The sequence below is a fragment of the Homo sapiens genome, chromosome 5 (assembly GCF_000001405.40).
Source record: "Homo sapiens chromosome 5, GRCh38.p14 Primary Assembly".
Classification (NCBI taxonomy): domain Eukaryota; kingdom Metazoa; phylum Chordata; class Mammalia; order Primates; family Hominidae; genus Homo; species Homo sapiens.
In genome coordinates, this window is record NC_000005.10 from 168,727,726 (window position 1) to 168,747,747 (window position 20,022).

The 20,022-nt window shown below is 43.2% G+C and overlaps 1 protein-coding gene across 3 annotated transcripts in view, besides 2 other annotated features; it reads right to left on the reverse strand.

The window, feature by feature from the left end:
* Positions 1 to 20,022, reverse strand: part of SLIT3 (slit guidance ligand 3) — a 639,400-nt gene that overhangs the window by 65,986 nt on the left and 553,392 nt on the right. The gene's annotated exons all lie outside the window — the stretch shown is intronic.
* Positions 18,276 to 18,848: an enhancer, noted in NCBI's record as "H3K27ac-H3K4me1 hESC enhancer chr5:168173006-168173578 (GRCh37/hg19 assembly coordinates)". NCBI's record gives its function as "activates a minimal SCP1, AML or CMV promoter by ChIP-STARR-seq in naive H9 embryonic stem cells {active_cell/tissue: H9 hESC(naive)}" and the evidence as "EXISTENCE:reporter gene assay evidence [ECO:0000049][PMID:30033119]".
* Positions 18,849 to 19,420: an enhancer, noted in NCBI's record as "H3K27ac-H3K4me1 hESC enhancer chr5:168173579-168174150 (GRCh37/hg19 assembly coordinates)". NCBI's record gives its function as "activates a minimal SCP1, AML or CMV promoter by ChIP-STARR-seq in naive H9 embryonic stem cells {active_cell/tissue: H9 hESC(naive)}" and the evidence as "EXISTENCE:reporter gene assay evidence [ECO:0000049][PMID:30033119]".

The following is a 20,022-nucleotide window of genomic DNA, read 5'->3' on the forward strand; positions in this document are numbered from 1 at the left end:
CTCCCCAAACAGGGGCAGGGGCTCAGCCGGTGGTGGGAAGGAGCAGACACTGGGAGGGGGTATGTATCCAGCTTATTCCTTTGGGCAGGGAGGCTCTGCTCTGTGCAGGCTGAAGAAGGGGAGGACAAACTGTTGGGCCATAATTCACACACCTGCAGGAAGTGTTCTGTGGACAGTGTGGCTATGGGGAGCTTGGAGGCAGGAGCTGGAGGAATGAGCAGGACAGGCAGAGAAGCGCTGGTCCAGGGAGGATCTCTTCTCCAGGGAGATCCGAGGGAGTTGCTAGGAAGGGGTATGACCTGAGATTGACAGTGGCTTCCCACCTTCTATGCTGCTCATTCTATGCTGCCAGTACTGGGGCCCAAAGACTGGCTCAGTTTGCATGTAAATCTCCAGCTAAACTTCACCACCACCTCAACTAATAATGGTACCCTAAGTCACTGAGGATGTGATTATAGAGACCACTGATCCTATGCCCTGCCGAGGAATTCATACAAAGATCACACTACCACAGGCACTCAAAATCAAACCCAAAGTATCTTAATCAACAACATATATATATATATATATATATATCCTCAGAGAAAATTCTCCCCTACAAAAGCAATTTCAAACAATTAGAACAAGTGACTGCTACACCAGATGTTCAGAAATCCAAGTAATGACACAGGAAACATGAAACAGCAGGGAAATATGATGCTACCAAAGGACCACAATTGTCCAGCAACAGATCCCAATCAAAAAGAATTCCTTGAAATGCCAGGTAAAGAATTGAAAATGTTATTCTTAAAGAAGCTCAATGAGATGCAAGAGAAATCTGAAAACCAACACAAATAAATTAAAAAATCAATGTAGGCTATAAATAAGAAATTTCCAAGGACACAGACATCTTAAAAAAAATAAAAAAGCCAAAGCCCAGGTGCAGTGGCTCAGGCCTGTAATTCTAGCAGTCTGGGAGGCCAGTGGGAGGACTGCTTGAGCCCAGGAATTTGAGACCAGCCTGCGCAACATAGTGAGACCCTGTATTTACAAAAAATAAAAAGTCAGCTGGGGAAGGTAGCATGTGCCTGTGGTCCCAGCTACTAGGGAGGCAGAGGTGGGAGGATTGCATGAGCCTGGAAGGTCAAGGCTGCAGTGAGCTGTGATCACACCACTGCACTTCAGCTTGAGTGACAGAGTTAGACTCTGTCTCAAAAAAAAACCAAAGAAACAAAAAAAAAAGCCAACTGAGAAATTCTGAAACTAAAAAATTAATTGAAGGAAATACAAAATACATTAGAAAATTTCAATAATAGACTAGAACAAGCAGAAGAAAGAATCTCAGAACTTGAAGACAGGTCTTTTAAAATAATCCAGTCAGACAAAAATAAGGAAAAAAGAATAAAAAGAATGAACAAAGGCTTTGAGATATGTGAGAGTACATAAAGTGACCAAACTTATGAATTGTTGATATTACCAAGGGGGAAAAGAGATCAAAAAGTTTAGAAAACATATTTGAGAAAGTAATTGATGAAAATTTCCCAAGTCTGTCAAGAGAGTTAGACATCCATTTACAGGAGGCCCAGAAATCTTCAGGCAAATACATTGCAAAAAGGATATCTCTATAGCATATTATATTCAGAATGTTTAATATAAAAGTGAAATAAAGGATTTTAAAATTAGCAAGAGAAAAGCATGGAGTCATATACAAAGGAAACCCCTCAGACTAACAGAAGACTTTTCACAGAAACCTTACAGGTTAGAAGAGAAATGTGATGGCATTTTCAAAGTGCTGAAAGAAAAAAAAAAACTGTCAGCCCAGAATTTTGTATTCTGCCAAAATAAATTTTATAAATTAAGGATAAAGTCCTTCCCTGACAAGCAAATACTAAGGGAATTTGCCACCACTAGAGCAACCCTATAGGAAATGTTCAATGAGGTCTTAAATGTGAAAATGAAAGGTCGATATTCACTATCACAAAAAATCATGAAAATATAAAACTCACAGTTCATATAAAACAATTATACAAAGGAAGAAGAGAAAGGAATCAAATGGCAACACCACAGAATTTCACCAAACCACAAAGACAGAAAAAGAAAGAAACAAGGAATTTATAAAACAACTTGAAAACAATCAACAATATGACAGGAACAAAGCCTCACATATCAATACTAACCCTGAATATAAATGGATTAAATGCTCCATCTTAAAGATACAGATTGTCAGAATGGATAAAGAAACATGATCCAACTATATCCTGCCTACAAGAAACTTATCCTTCCCATAAAGACGCAAATAGACTGAAAGTAAAGGGGTTGAAAAAGATATTCCATACAAACAGAAACCAAAAGTGAGCAGGAGTAGCTACACTTATATCAGATAAAAAAGACATATCACATAAAACAGTAAAAAAAAAAGACAAAAAAGGTCACTAGATAATGACAAAGGGAACAATTCAGCAAGAGGATGTAATAATCCTAAATACATACACAACCAACATTGGAGAACTCAAATAACACAAACAAATAATACTGGACCTAATGAAAGAAACAGACGACAATACAATAATAGTAGGGTCTTGGTAACACCCTACTGACAGCACTAGACAGATCATTGAGACAGAAAATTAACAAAGAAACACTGGACTTAAATTGGACTTTAGGCCAAATGGACTTAATAGACATTTACAGAAATTCTACCCAACAATGACAGAATATACATTGTTTTCACCAGCACATGGAACATTCTCCAAGATAGACCACAAGTTAGCCCACAAAACAAGTCTTAACACATTAAAAAACCTGAAATTATATCAAGTATTTTCTCAGATCACGGTAATTTAAGGCTAGAAATCAATACCAAGACAAACTTTTGAAACTATCCAAATACATGGAAATTAAACAGCGTGCTCTTGAACAACCACTGGGTCAACAAAGAAATTAAAATTAAAATTAAAAAAAAATCCAAATGAATGAAAATGAAAAAACAACATACCCAAACCTATGGGATACAGCAAAAGCAGTGCTAAGAGGGAAGTTAATAGCATTGAATACCTACCTCACAAAGGTAGAAAGATCACAAATTAACAACCTAACATCATACCCCAAGAAACTAGAAAAAGAAGAACAAAACAACCCCAAAGTTAGCAGAAGAAGAGAAATAACAAAGATCATGCTGAGACTAAGGATTCTAGTATGAACAACAAAACAGAAAAGAAATAACAAAAATCAGAGCAGAACTAAATGAAATGGGGACCAAAAGGATAATACAGAAGATTAACAAAAGAAAAAGTTGGTTCTTCAAAAAGATAAACAAAATTGATAAATCACTAGCTAAACTAACCAAGAAAAGAAGAGGGAAGATCCAAATAAATACAATCAGAACTGAAAAAGGAGACATTACAAATGATATTTCAGAAATACAAAAGATCATCAGACTATTATGAACAACTATACAATCACAAACTAGAAAATCTAGAGCAAATGGATAAATTCCCGGAAGCATGCAACCTCCTGAAATTGAACCAGGAATAAGTAGAACTTCTGAACAGTAGACCCCTAATAAGTAGAGAGACTGAATCAGTAATACAAAATATCCCCCCCTAAACTGCCACCAAAAAGCCCAGGACCATAAATCCAAAGATGAATTCATAGCTGAATTCTAACAAGCACACAAAAAACTAGTATTAATCCTCCTGAAACTATTTTAAAAAACTGAGAAGGAAGTAATTCTCCCTTACTCATTCTATGAGGTCAGTATCACCCTAATACTAAAACCAGACAAGGACACAATGAAAAAAGAAAACTACAGGCTAACATCCTGAATGGACAATAGACATAAAAATTCTCAAAAAAAATACTAGCAAATTGAATCCAAGAGCACATCAAAAAGATAATAGACCATGATCAGGTTGTGATTTATTCCAGGAATGAAAGGATGCTTCAATATACGCAAATCAATAAATGTGCATCACATAAACAGAAATAAGGACAAAAACCATATGATCATCTTAACAGATGCAGAAAAAGCATTTGAGAAAATTCAGCATCCCTTCATGATAAAATTTAGCAAACTAGGCATACAAGGAACATACCTCAAATAATAAAGGCTATATACAACAAACCCACAGCCAACATCATCCTTAATGGAGAAAAGTTGAAAGGATTCCCTCTAAGAATTGGAACAAGACAAGAATACCCACTTTGACCACTCTTATTCAGTGTAGTATTGGAAGTCCTCACCAGAGCAATCAGCAAAGAGAAACAAAAGGCATCCAAATTGGAAAAGAGGAAGTCAAATATTTCTGCTGATGATATGATCTTATATCTAGAAAATAAACACTAAATACTTGACCAAAAAACTGTTAGACTTAATAAATGAATTCAGTAAAGTTTCAGGCTACAAAATTAATGTTTAGAAATTAGTAGCATTCCTAAACACCAATAACTATCTAGTCAAGGACCAAATCAAGAAGGCAATCCCACTTACAATAGCTAAGACAAGGACAAAAACAAAAACAAAAACAAAACCCTAGGAATATATTTCACCAAGGAGGTGAAAGATGTCTATCAGGAGAACTACAAAACACTGATGGAAGAAATTGTAGACAACACAAACAAATGGAAAAACATCCCATGCTCATGGATTTGAAGAACTAACGTTGTTAAAATGACCATACTGCCCAAAGCAATCTACAGATTCATTGCAATCCCTACCAAATGACCAATGTCATTTGGTACATTTTTCACAGAATTAGAAAAAAAATCCTAAAATTCATATTCATAATTCAAAGAGCCCAAATAGCCACAGCAATCCTGAGCAAAAAGAACAAAGCTGGAGGCATCATATTACCTGACTTCAAATTATATTACAAGGCCATAGTAACCAAAACAGCACAGTACTGGTATAAAAATAGACACATAAATCAATGGTACAGAACAGAGAACCCAAAAATAAAGCCACATTCCTACAACTAACTGATCTTCACCAAAGCCAAAAATATACACTGGGGAAATGACACCCTATTCAATAAATGGTGCTGGGAAAATTGGATAGCCATATGATGAAGAATGAAACTGGACTCATACTTTTCACCATATACAAAAATTAACTCACAATGAATTAAAGGCCCAAATGTAAAACATGCAAATATAAAAATCCTAGAAGAAAACCTAGGAAAAACTCTTTTGGACATTGGCCTAGGCAAAGGATTTATGACTAAGTCCTCAAAAGCAAATGTAGTAAAAACAAAATTATAAAAATGGGACTTAAACTAAAAAGCTTCTGCACAGCAAAAGAAACAACAGTAAACAGACAACCTGCAGGATGGGAAAAATACTTTTAAACTATGCCTAAACAAAGGTTTGATATCCAGAAACTATAAGGAACTTGACAAGAAAAAAAAAACCATTAAAAAGCGGGCAAAGGATATGAATAAACATTTCTCAAAAACAGACATACAATTGGTCAAACATATGAAAAATGCTCACCATCACTAATCATCAGAAAAATGCCAATCAGAACCACAGTGAGATACCATATCATATCAGCAGAATGACCATTATTAAAAAGTCTAAAAACAACAGATTTTTGGTGAGAATGTGGAGAAAAAGGAATGCTCATATGCTACTGGTGGGAATGTAAATTGGTACAACCTTTACGGAAAACAGTATGGTGATTTCTCAAAGAACTAAAAATAGAACTACCATTTGATCCAGCAACACCACTACTGGGTAAACACCCAAAGAGAAATAAATAATTACATCCAAAAGACACCTGCACTTGTATGTCTATCACAGCACTATTCACGATAGCAAAGATACGGAATCAACCTCAATGTCCATCAACAGAGGATTGGATAAAGAAAATGTGGTGTATATTCATGGACACAAGGAGGGGAACAACACACACCATGGCCTGTCAAGGGTTGGGATGCAAGGGAAGGGAGAGCATTAGGACAAATACCTAATGCATCTAGGGCTTAAAACCTAGATGATGGGTTGATAGGTGCAGCAAACCACCATGGCACATGTATACCTACATAACAAACCTGTACATTCACACATCTATCCTGGAACTTAAAATAAAAAAAAATTAAAAAAAAAAAAGAAAATGTGGAATATCTATATACATTGAATACTACTCAGCCATAAATAAGAATGAAATCCTGTCTTTTGCAGCAATGTGGATGGAACTGGAGGCCATTATCCTCAGTGAAATGACTCAGAAACAGAAAGTCAAATACTATATGTTCTTGCTTATGAGTGGGAGCATGACAATGGGTACACATGGACATACCGAGTAGAATAATGGACACTGGAGACTACAAAAGGTAGGAGGGTGCTGAGGGCTGAAAAACTACCTATTGGGCACAATGTTCAGTATTTGGGTGATGGGTACACTAAAAGCCCAGACTTTACCACAACACAATATATGCATGTAAGAAACCTGTACTTGTACCTCCTAAATATATTGTTTAAAAAGTCAACTGACTGTAGATATTAATTGCATTTACAAAATACCTTCACAGCAACATCTAGACCAAGTATGTGACCAAACAACCGAGCACCACAGCCTACCCAGTTGAGACAGGAAATTAACTGTTAGAGCCCTGCCTCCTGTCTTTGGTTCATCTTTTATCAGACTTTCCCTTGACCTCTGGTTCCAACTCCACTGGCCTTAACCTTCCTAAAATGCCCCATCCCCTCTGGTGGGGGGCAGGTGTTTGTACACACTAGTGTCTCTCCTCCCTCCTTGCCAGGTTAACTCCTACAGATGCATGGATCTCAGCTCCAGCATTAGTTTTTCAATATCAGTTCCCACACCTACCAATGATATTACAGGTGTTCCATGTGCTGGTGATATTACAGAATGTTCCATGTGCTGGTGAAAAGAATGTATATTCTGTAGTTGTTGGGTAGAATCTCTGTAAATGTCTATTAAGTGCTTTTGGCCTAAAGTTATATAAGACAGCCAAAGCATTGGCTGTCTTTTCATCACAGCATTTGACCCCCATGGTGACATCTTTCGTGTGATTCTGTGATTAATGTGGGCAGAATCATGTCTGCTTGGCTCACCACAGCATTCTCGCACTCTGCCTGGCAACAGCAGATGCTCAGGAAACGTCATCTGTGTGATGAAAACCCCTGAACTCCTCAGGGAGAGCTGCGTTTGGCATGATGGAGCCAAGCACAAGTTGCTTTCAGTGCAGAATGTCCCCGGCGACCTGGCAGCACAGCTCAGAAGACTCAGAATCAAAGCTTTCACATCAGAAATGCAGATGCAGTGGTGGGGAGAGCTCTCTTTGTAGCAGGCCCTTCATGAAAACTCTGAACTCCAAAGTTGTCTGTAGCCTACAGTCCAGGCTCCCAGAGGGACCCTTTCAGGAGACTGCCCTCTTGCCCCACCAGCCTTAGAACTGCCGGAGTGTTTCTGGCAGGTCACCCTTTGCATTTGGCCTGCATTTAAATGCTCTGTTTCAGCCCCAGTGCAAACACACAAGGACACATCTGCCTTGCATGAAACTCCACACAGATCTCTGTGAATGGGTGTTCCCCATTCCTGTTTGGAGCTTTGGGGTGCTGACTGATGCCCCACAAAGAACTCAAACCAGCTGATGTTAATGGAGAGGGAGGGAAGCCACCTTCCCAGAGACTCTGCTCCAGGCCAGAATTTCCACTAGAGTCCTGGAGTGATGTGGGGGCAGCTCAGGGGTCAGGCAGCTGAGGCTCACATCCTGGCTCTACTATCTAAGAGCTGTGTGACCCTGGGTGAAGTACTTAACCTCTTTGAGCTTACATTTAGTCACCTGTAAAACAAAGCTTATAATGATCACCACCTTGATGTGATTCTGAGGATTAAATTTGAGTCTCTGTGAACAGTTCTCAGAGCAGTACCCGGCACACTGGTGGCCAACACATTTTAAATATACATACACATACATATAGACAGATAGATACACACACACACACACACACACACACACACACACACACACACACATCTCCATCCAATAATACACATAGCTTATTGAAAGATAATGTTCCTCTTGCTGTTCATTCTCTTCTTCTTCCTCCAGGGTAGTATTTCTAAAATGAGAATTGGATCATGCCACTTAAAATTCTTCCTGGATTCCTGCATTTCTCTTGGAGTCAGCTCTCCCTATACCTACAAGAACTTACATATCCCTTCTCAAGCTTTCAGCACACATCACCCTCTTTGTCATCCTATTTGCTCCATCTCACAGCCTTCTTGGTTTCTTGAATTTAAGATCTTTCCACCTTGAGGTCTTCATAAAACATGTTCTTTCTACTCTGTTTCCCTCCTTTACTTTCCTGGGAAATCCCCCTCTACTCCTGGTGTGAAATGCCTGATCTGGTCGGTTTTCTTACTGTCTTTCTCCCCTACTCTCAGTTTCTGAGAAAAGGGATCTTATCTGTCATGGTAGCCACTGTACCTTCAGCTGCTACCACAGTGTGTGGCACAATGAACTCAATGAATGGAAGGGAGCCTTCTCAGCTCTCGGCCTGTGCTCAGGCCACCCACAGCCCCTCCCATAGATGGCTGTCACTGTCCAATAGTGTGGAGAAGTGTCCTCTACTGGTGCCATCTGCTGAGGTCTTCTCTGGGCCAGAGCCTGTGCCAGGACTCATAAGTGCTGCTGTGCCCAGAGCTGGTCCACTCTCCAAAGATGTGATCAACCCCTCCAGCTGGCTGGAGGCACATTTCAGTCTCTCTCCCTGGGCCAGAGAATGTCAAGGATGTAGTCAGTGCTGGGCAGTTGTTCTATTAAGTGCTCTGGGGAGCATGGGGGATATGAAAAGCAGCAGGCTCTTCTCGGGCAGCAGCTTGCCTTGCTAGAGAAGGCCCAGCTGTCAGGATGGACATAGCCAGAACCACTGACAGGTACCTATAGCCTCATGGCAGGCTGCCTGGGCTTGCCTCCTCCCTGCTGCAATGCAGAGTGCCTGGGCTTGCCTCCTCCCTGCTGCAATGCAGAGTGCCTGGGCTTGCCTCCTCCCTGCTGCAATGCAGATGTCAGTTTTCAAGAGGACCCATGTAAGCCCCCAGCAAGCCAGGCCACTGGGCAGAACACATAGGGACCTGGGTTTCTGCCACAGGGAGGACTTGGGGTCAGATGGACCTGGGCTTGAGTCTATAGTCTGCTGCTTATTGGCAGTGTGATCGTCAAAAATTATTCAACCTTCAGTAGCTCCGGTTATCTCACCTGCAAAATGGGAATAATGACACTTGCCTTGAAGAGTTGTTAGCAGGGTGAAATGAGATTACCTATTAAGAAAACCCAGCACAGCACTTGGTACACAGTAAATGCTCTAGAAATGGTGGCTGTGGTGGTTTGTAGCATAGGCAGGACATTCTTGCTTGCTTTCTTAAAGGCCAGGTGGGCAGAATTTCCTGGATTCCTCTCTTCCCAGAGCACATATTGCCTGAGCCACTCCCTTGTGCTTGTCATCTGCTGCGTCGCACTCCCCCTTCTCCTGCCTGCATGTCTCCCCCAATAAAACTATGGATGAGGACCAAGTGCCACTGAGCTTTCTGGACCCCAGACCTCCATCCCCTAACTCCTTGGAACCCACACAGTGCCAGGCCAGGTCCTTCTTGCTTCTTCAACCAGTGCATTCTTGTCATCACCTCTTGCCACACTCACTCTCAGAGAGTTGCATCTCAGCCCTGTGCCCTCCTACCTCCTGGTTGAGCCCCATCCTTTTCCTGTCTCCTGTCAGTGCTGTGCACACACACACACACATGCACATGCATATGCACACTGCCAGCCTGCTTCCCACAGTGTTCTCAGACCCCGCATCCTAATACAAATCCTTTCTTCCAATAGTTGTGCCTGGAGCTATGTCATCCTTCCCCCCTCTTTTCCTTGGGATATCAAGTTATAGGACAACAAATCCATGCTCATTGTCCTTAGACCAAAAATATATGTCTAAACATCATGGATATTAACCAGGGGTAGATATGGGGGAAAGCTGTTCACCAGCACTGGATTCTGCATTTCTTCTCTAACCGTTATGAAGATGTAGGCTTTGCAGAGTTTGTTTCCAGAACCAGGAAACCTGATGTTTGTAAACATTTCCATAAATGGAAGCAAGCAGATTTTTAGGTTTCAGTTCTAAAATAGTGAGGTAAGCATGAATTTAAAAGGACAGTTGCATGGCAATAATTGTACTTTCTGAAGGCAGTGAGGCCCTACCTTCACAGAGAGTATTCTGGTGACTTTGAGGGCTGAGATGTCCTGTATTTGCTTCTGTCCTGCTTTCCATAAGATTCTGTAAGCTTGCCTTTTAAATTAGGAACTTCGTGCTGACTTAGAGCAGTTATCTCTCTCTATCCATTGCCCACCAATATGTAATGACCAGAGTGGTTCTCAAAGTGTCATCCATAGACCCCGGGGGTCCCTGAGGCTTTTTCAGGGGTCTATGAGGCCAAAACTATATTTACAATAAGGTTAAAATGTTATTTTCCTTTTGCCCTGTGTTGACATTTGCACTGATGGTACAAAATTAGTGGAGGGTAAAACTGCTGGCACCTCAGCATGAATCAGGACATCGCTACCAAATGAAACTGGTGGTCACTGTATTCTTCACCTCTGTGCACTTGCAGGTTTTACCAAAACCAGGAATGCCCTTGATGAAGTACCAAGAATTATTGTTTGTATTAACATTCAACTCTTGAGCACACATTCCTTTAATGTCCCGTATGACAAAATGGGAGATGTACACACACAGCATGTTGGTTGTCTAGAGAAAAGTACCTGTGTAATTGAGTTGCAAGCTGAACTAGCTGGCTTTTACATTTTTTCATGGAACACTGTTTTTACCTAAAAGAAAGACTGGCAAACTCATTATTCAGACATGGCTATTTAGTAGATAATTTCTTGAAAATGAACAAAGTAAGCCCATCACTTTAAAAAAAGCAACTCACAGGCTGGGCACGGTGGCTCATGCCTGTAATCCCAGCACTTTGGGAGGCCGAGGCAGGTGGATCACAAGGTCAGGAGATCGAGACCATCCTGGCTAATACGGTGAAACCCCGTCTCTACTAAAAATACAAAAAATTAGCCGGGCGCGGTGGCGGGCGCCTGTAGTCCCAGCTGCTGGGGAGGTTGAGGCAGGAGAATGGCGTGAACCCAGGAGGCGGGGCTTGCAGTGAGCCGAGATGGCGCCACTGCAGTCTGGCCTGGGTGAAAGAGCAAGACTCCATCTCAAAAAAAAAAAAAAAAAAAAGCAGCTCACAGTATTTGTTGCCAATGATAAATTCGTGCTTCCAAGTAAAAATTAAAATTTTGGAAAACTTTTCACTGCCACATTGAGCTTAACAACTTTCCCTCACTTAAAGACTTTTCTGATGAGATCAGCGGTGATATCAAAGGACATTATTTAAAAAATATATTGTATAATGAAATGTGTTAGCATTTGGAAGATCTGCATAACTCAGTGAACCGATATTTTTCCATTGACCAACACATGATATTACAAGATCGTGCATGGGGAAAGTTCCATTCAAAGCGTAAGACAGATCGGTAGAGTTATGTAACAGAGGACCAAAGGTTCACTGGTACAAGTGCAGTTCCACACTACAACTAGCCTTTAAGAAAATGCCACTTGTTGAGCTTTGGTCTTAATCAAAGAAGAACACCCATAATTACCTGAAAAGACTATTAAAGTATTCCTCGCTTTTTCTTTCTTTTTATTCTTTTTTTTTTTTTTGAGATAGAGTCTCACTCTGTCACCCAGGCTGGAGTGCAACGGCGCAATCTCAGCTCACCACAACCTCTGCCTCCCAGCTTCAAGTGATTCTCCTGCCTCACCCTCCCAGCTTCAAGTGATTCTCCTGCCTCACCCTCCCAAGTAGCTGGGATTACAGGCGCCCACAACCACGTCTGGCAAATTTTGTATTTTTAGTAGGGACGGGGTTTCTCCATTTTGGTCAGGCTGGTCTCGACCTCAGCTGATCCACCCACCTCGGCCTCCCAAAGTGCTGGGATTACAGGCGTGAGCCACCGCACCCGGCTCCTCCCTTTTCAAATACATTTCTGTGTGAAGCCAAATTTCTTATCCTTCATCCAAAAAGCATACCACAACAAAGTGAATGGTGAAGCAGATATGAAAATTGAGCTGTCTTCTAGGAAGCTAGATATTAAAAAGATTTGCAAAAATATAAAACAATGAAACTCTTCTCACCTGCATTTCTTTTGGTTTGTCTTAAAAATGTGCTTTTTATATAAACATGTCATGGGTATATAATTGTTACTTTTAAATGGAATTAATGCATATTTTAACATTTTCTCAGTGTTAGTAATATGATCAATATCAATAGCTATAACCCACATAAACACAGGTTCTTGGAGTCCTGGATGCTTCTGAAAAGCATAAAGGAGTCCTGAGACCTAAACATTTAAGAGCCTCTGGTGGAATGGGCATGAGCACAGGATTTGGGGTCAGACAAAGAGGGCAACTGGTACTGTAGCCCTACTTCAAAGAGCACTTGCAAGACTGAATGTGAGAATGAGGCTCAGTTTGGCTTGACTCACCCAGGGTAGAACTGAAAGGAGACTGTGAGAGAAGGGCCAGTGAGGGTTAATAGAGAGCTGACTGGAGAAAAAAATCACCTCCTGCTCAGATGGCATTGCTGGGGTCTTGCATGCTTGCAACAGCCTCTCACACTCTGCCCTTTAGAGAAATGCTGGGCAACTTTGTTTTTGTTTTTTCTTGGTGAATTAAACTTAATTTTGTTTTGTAAGCTGGCAGCTCTGCCTGAGATAACTAATGAGACCCAAGGGAGCTGAAAAGCTTGCATTGGAAACCCTGGATCTGGACTCAGCCAATGTCTCTGAACCAGAGGCTCCCAGCCATAATTCTCCAGGTCTGCCAGCTTTCACTTTCTTTGACACTCATTCTCCTGCTTACCCCCAACCCTCCACCCCAGGAAGACGGTTTGGGGAAAGAAGTGAGGGCTGCCTTCCTCGGTGCACTTTGGAAGCCATGCCTGGCCAAGGGAAGTGATACCATTTCCAAATCAGAAAATCAGGTCTCCTCCCAAAGTGCTGAAGTTTACTTTATAATTGCAGCCAATTATCTTTGTTATTTCAGTTTTCGTTCCATGAGCTTTGGGGAAAAGCATTCACGGGCTATCGTCATGGCATTTCTGTCCTTTGACATGTGTCACTTGGCACTCAATTGGCCCAGGAAGGAGAGTATAACTGGGTCATTCTCTGCAGCCCCGTCCCATGGCACAGCCCGGTCCAAGGGAAGGGCAGGAAGCTCACTGCACGTGGGGGCATTTTTGTACACAGAACTTCCAGGGCATGACCCCAGCTCAAACTCACGGTGGACATGAACTTTTTAGCAACTGTCAAGACCTCCCTTCCTTCCCCTGGGCTGGCAGCCCTAGTTTCAGTTTTTCTGAGCATTGGGAAATGCCTGGAGCCACAACACACACTCAAGAATCCATGTGCCTCCAGGCACGGAGGCTCATGCCTGTAATCCCAGCACTTTGGGAGGCCGAGGCGGGCGGATCACGAGGTCAGGAGATTGAGACCATCCTGGCTAACATGGTGAAACCCCGTCTCTACTAAAAAATACAAAAAATTAGCTGGGCATGGTGGCGGGCACCTGTAGTCCCAGCTACTCGGGAGGCTGAGGCAGGAAAATGGTGTGAACCCGGGAGGCAGAGCTTGCAGTAAGCCGAGATCACACCACTGCATTCCAGCACTCCAGCCTGGGCGACAGAGCAAGACTCGGTCTCAAAAAAAAAAAAAAAAAAGAAGACAAGACAGATTCAGAGAGGAATGCCTGCTACGGGTTAGTTGCTGTGCTTAACTCTGGAGGGGGAAAGAAAACAAACAGTGAATGAGACACAATTGCTGCTCTCAGGGAGCTCTTGGTCTAGAAGGGGAAATAAGTAAATAAGCAACTACAACACAAGGCGATACCTGAGAGAAGAGCCATGGGGATACAAGTGAGAGGCACCTAACCCAGTCTTAGCCACCCAAAAGGCTTTCTGAAAGGAAGGTTAATAATCAGCACTGACATTCATCAAACCGTGACTATGTGCTGCACAAAGGGCTAAGTGCTTTAGTTATGTTATCTTAGTCACCCTCTGCCTTGTGAAGGATATACCGCTGTTATCCCCATTTCACAGATCAGTAAATAGAGGTTGAATGAGATTAAGTAACTTGCCCAAAGTGATGCAATCAGTAGGTAGTAAAGTTGGAATTTAAACCCAAGACTATTTGTTTTCAGAATCACTCCTCTTAACTTGTGCTTCCAGGACTGAGACTGAGAAACCAGAGGGGGTTACCTAAGTAGGGATGGGAGTGAAGAACATTCTAGGCCGGGAGAATATAAATGCCCTGGACAGAGGCCCTGAAGTCAGGAAAGGCATATGCACTGGGGGAATCACAAGAAGCTACAGGTGTGGCTGCAATGTGGCTTCTGGGGGCAGGAGTGGGAAGAGATGCTGCTGAGTAGCCCCAAGGCACAGGCAGAACCAAGGCTGGGACTCACCTCTGGGCTCCTAGCCCAGTGCTCTTTCTACCACATTCTACCTGCTTCCCCATCGCAGGCTAGCATGTTTTTATCTGCACCCATTTCAGACTGGAGGGAGCTGGCCTATGTAAAAATGAGGCATTTTCTTCCTCACCCAGAGAGGCCTCTGATGGGAATTGAGGAGTGGGGTGAAATGGAAGATGCAGAGAGAAAGGGGACAGGTGCTGACCGCTCTGCCAAGATGCAATGTCTCCTCTGCAGTCCTGGAATCAGGTCACAGGACTCACCACGGCCTTTGAGACATACCAGCTGCACACTTTCAGGCTTCTACTCTATGTGGGTAACTCCCAGGGGACTGGCCCCAAAATCCACTCAAAAACATAGAGGAGGAGTCATGACAGTGATAACAATCATCATAGCTAATGTGACTGAGTGCTTCTGAACCACTGGCATCTGGTCTTTTAATGCTTACAGCTAGCTTATGAAGTGGTATATTAGCTTTCCTCCTGGGCAAAGAGGAAGAAAATCAGTTCAAACCACCTTAAGCATAAAGAGAATTTATCAACTCAGATAACTGAAGAAGGCACTGGAAGATACCGGGCTCTAGGGCTGGATGCAGGTACTGCAATGATACTGTCAGAATGTGTCTGTTATCCCAGCACTTTGGGAGGCTGAGGTGGGCAGATCCCAAGGTCAAGAGATCGAGACTATCCTGGCCAACAGGGTGAAACACCATCTCTACTAAAAAAAAAATACAAAAATTAGCTGAGCGTGGTGGCATGCGCCTGTAGTCCCAGCTACCGGAGAGGCTAAGCCAGGAAAATGGCATGAACCCTGGAGGTTCACGCCATGTGCTAGTCTAAGAAACTGGCATGTTCAGGTTCTGTCCCCAAAAGCATTATTAGAAGGGCAGATCAAAGCAACTCTGGAGGAGTCTGGGTCGCGTTCTGTCACTTACATCTGAGGGTACTGCGTACCTTGTTTTATTGCACTTTGCTTTATTGCACTTTGTAGATATTGCGTTTTTTAAAAATTGAAGGTTTATGGCAACCCCGCCACAAGCAAGTCTATTAGTGCCATTTTTCCAACAGCATATCTGACTTCATGTCTCTGTGTTACATTTTGGTAATTCTCACAATATTTAAAACTTTTTCATTATTATAATACTTTTATGGTGATCTGTGATCAGTGATCTTTGATGTCTCTATTGTAATTGTTTTGAGGCACCACGAACCATGCCCATCAAAGATGATGAATTTAATTGATAAATGTTGTGTGTGCTCTGACTGCTTTACCAACTAGCTGTTCCCTGTCTCCCTCTCCTCGGACCTCCCTATTTCCGGAGACAAAGTACAATATTGAAATTGGGCCAACTAATAACCCTACAACGGCCTCTAAGAATCACACATCTCTCACTTTAAATCAAAAGATAGAAATGATGAAGTTTAGTGAGGAAGACATATCAAAAACGAAGACGGATCAAAGCTAGGCCTCTTGGACCAAATAGCCAAATTGTGAACGCAAATAAAAAGTTCTTGAAGAAAATTAAAAGTGCTAGTCCAATATACACATGAATCATGAGAAAGACTTATTGCTGACATGCAAAAACTTTTAGCGGTCTGGATAGAAAAATCAAACCAGCTAAACATTCCCTCAAGCCAAAGCCTAATCCAGAGCAAGGCCCTAACTCTCCTTAATTCCGTGAAGGCTGACAGAGGTGAGAAAACTGCAGAAGAAAAGTTTGAAGCTAGCAATAGTTGGTTCATGAGGTTTAAGAAAAGAAGCCGGCTGGGCGCAGCGGCTCACACATGTAATCCCAGCACTCTGGGAATCCGGGGCGGGTGGATCATAAGGTCAGGAGATCGAGACCATCCTGGCTAACATGGTGTAACCCTGTCTCCACTAAAAATACAAAAAATTAGCCGGGCGTGGTGGCGGGCTCCTGTAGTCCCAGCTAAGGGGGAGGCTGAGGCAGGAGAATGGCATTAACCCAGGAGGTGGAGCTTGCAGTGAGCCGAGATTGCGCCACGGCACTCCAGCCTGGGTGAAAGAGCGAGACTCCATCTCAAAACAAAACGAAACAAAACAAAAGAAGCTATCTTCATAACAGGAAAGTGTAAAGTAAAGCAGCAAGTGCTGACGGAGAAGCTGTAGCAAGTTATCCAGATGATCTAGCTAAGATAATTGATGAAGGTGGCCACATTAAACAACAGATCTTCCGTGGAGACAAAATAGCCTTTTATTAAAAGAAGTAGCCATCTAAGACTTTCACAGATAGAGAGGAGAAGTCAATGCCTGGTTTCAAAGCTTCAAAGGGCAGGCTGACTTTCTTGTTAGGGGCCACTGCTGATGGTGACTTGAAGTTGAAGCCAATACTCATTTACCGTTCTGAAAATCCTAGGGCTTTTATTATGCTAAATCTACTCTGCCTGTGCTGTAGAAATATAGCAACAAAGACTGGATGATGGCATGTCTGTTTATGGCATATTTTGCTGAATATTTTAAGCCCATCGTTGAGACCTGCTGCACAAACATAAAGATTTCTTTCAAAATATTACTGCTCACTGACAATGTACCTGGTCATCTAAGAGCTCTCATGGAGATGTACACACAGATTAATGTTGTTTTCATGTCTGCTAACATAACATCCATTCTGCAGCCCATGGATCAAGGAGTAATTTCAACTTTCAAGTCTTATTATTTAAGAAATATATTTTGTAAGGCCATAACTGCCATAGATGGTGATTCCTCTGATGGATTTGGGCAAAGTAAACTGAAAAGCTTTTGGAAAGGATTCACTGTTCTAGATGCCATTTGAACATTTGTGATTCATGGTAGGAGGTCAAAATAGCAACATTAATAGGAGTTTGGAAGAAGTTGACTCCAACCATATGGATGACCTTGAGGGGTTCAAGACTTCAGTGGAGGAAGTAGCTGCAGATATGGTGAAAATAGTGAGAACTAGAATTAGAAGTGGAGCCTGAAGATGTGACTGAATTGCTGCAATCTCAGGCTAAAACTTGAGCAGATAAGGAGTTGCTTCTTATAGATGAGGAAAGAAATTGGTTTCTTGAAATGGAATCTACTTTTGGTGAAGATGCTGTGAACGTTGTTGAAATGACAACAAAGGATTTAGAATATTATATAACCTCAGTTGATAAAGTAGTAGCAGGATTTGAGAGGACTGACTCCAATTTTTTTTTTTTTTGAGACAGAGTCTCACTTTATTGCCCAAGCTGGAGTGCAGTGGCACGATCTTGGCTCACTGCAACTTCTGCCTCCCAGGTTCAAGCCATTCTCATACCTCAGCCTCCCCAGTAGCTGGAATCACAGGCGTATGCCACCATGCCCTACTAATTTTTGTATTTTCAGTAGAGATGGGGTTTCACCATGTTGGCCAGGCTGGTCTTGAACTTCTGACCTCAAGTGATCCACCTGCCTTGGCCTCCCAAAGTGCTGGGATTACAGGCGTGAGCCACGGCACCTGACCTTGACTCCAATTTTAAAAGAACTTCTACTATGGGAAAATGATGTTAAACAGCATTGTGTACTGCAGAGAAATCTTTCATGAAGAAGACTCCATTGATGTGACAAACCTCACTACTGTCTTATTTTAAGAAATTGCCATAGCCACCCAATGTTGGCCACCACCACCCTGATCAGATAGCAGCCATCAACATCAAGACAAGACCCCCGACTAGGAAAAAGATTATAACGCGCTGGAGGCTTAGGGGATCATTAGCATTTTTTAGCAATAAAGCATTTTTGAATTAAGGTATGTACATTGGTACATTGGTTTTTTTCCAACACAATGAGATTGCACACTTAATAGACTACGGTATAGTATAAACATAACTTCGATATGCACTGGGAAACCAAAACATTTGTGCGACTTGCTTCATTGCAGTTTGTGCTTTATGGTGGTCTGGAACTGAACCCACAATATCTCCAAGGTATGCCTGTACGTGCTAACCTGGCCCAGAAAAGGGGATGTGCATGGGGCCTGGCAAAAGAGATGTCAAAGTCAAGCATCAGATGTGTGTGGGTGTGGTGATGTGTGGTGTGGTGGTATGTGGGTGTGGTGGTGTGGGTGTGGTGGTATGTGGTGTGTGAGTGTGGTGGTGTGGGTGTGTGGTGGTGTGTGGTGTGTGAGTGTGGTGGTGTGGGTGTGTGGTGTCTGGTGGTGTGTAGTGTGTGAGTGTGGTGGTGTGTGGTGGTGTGGGTGTGGCAGTGTGTGGTGGTGTGCGGTGGTGTGGGTGTGGTGGTGTGTGGTGGTGTGTGGTGTGTGAGTGTGGTGGCGTGGGTGTGGCGGTGTGTGGTGGTGTGCGGTGGTGTGGGTGTGGTGGTGTGTGGTGGTGTGTGGTGTGTGAGTGTGGTGGTGTGGGTGTGGTGTGTAGTATGGTGGTGTGGTGGTGTGTAGTGGTGTGGGTGTGTGGTGTGTGAGTGTGGTGGTATGGTGGTGTGTGGTGGTGTGGGTGTGGTGGTGTGTGGTGTGGGTGTGGCGGTGTGTGGTGGTGTGCGGTGGTGTGGGTGTGGCGGTGTGTGGTGGTGTGTGGTGTGTGAGTGTGGTGGTGTGGGTGTGGCGGTGTGTGGTGTGTGAGTGTGGTGGTGTGGGTGTGGTGGTGTGTGGTGTGTGAGTGTGGTGGTGTGGGTGTGGCGGTGTGTGGTGGTGTGTGGTGTGTGAGTGTGGTGGTGTGGGTGTGGTGGTGTGTGGTGTGTGAGTGTGGTGGTGTGGGTGTGGTGGTGTGTGGTGTGTGGTGGTGTGGATGTGTGGTGTGTGGTGTGGTGGTGTGTGGTGTGGGTTTGTGGGTGTGTTGCTGCTCAGGCACTTAGGCTGTTCCTGTTGCCTCTCCCTGGCTCTGCCCGCTCCCATACAGGGCCTTTGCTTATGCAGCAACTTCAGCCAGAGCACTGCCTCCTCCCTCCTAGTGACCTGCCCCTCACCCCTCAGATTGCGGCTCTAGCATCATTTCACCAGGGCAGCTTTCTCAGAGCTTCATGTCTCTGTCACACTTCTCACTTTGCGTGTCCTAGCAACCTTGTACCTCTCTTTTTGTAGCATTTTTCACAGTTGTCACTTCGCATGTGCATCTGCAATGATCGAGTGAATGTCTGCCTTCCTTAATAAACCACGAGCCCCGTGAGTGTAGGGGTCACACCCATTTTGCTCGCCATTGTCTCTCCAATGTGAGCAGAGTACTTCATACCTGAGAAACCTGGTCAATATGCGTTGAGTGGATGAGTGAAGGAGTGGATGGATGCGAGTGTGCACATGGTGTGTGTTGGTTGTGTGAGTGTGTGGTGCTCCTCTGGTCCTAGCTGCAGTGCTCTTGGTGCATTCCAGGGAGGCCCCCTCACTGGGGGACCGTGCCTTGTCCTTCTGTCTGTGCTTTCCTGGGGGGCAGAAATAGGATTTTCTCCATAATATTAAGAGCCCTACAGGAAGAGGCTAACACCTTTTTCGTTGAGCTGGGAGTTTCTGGTGCAGAAACAGGACCTGAGGAGTCAGTGGCAGGAGCTCGGGTT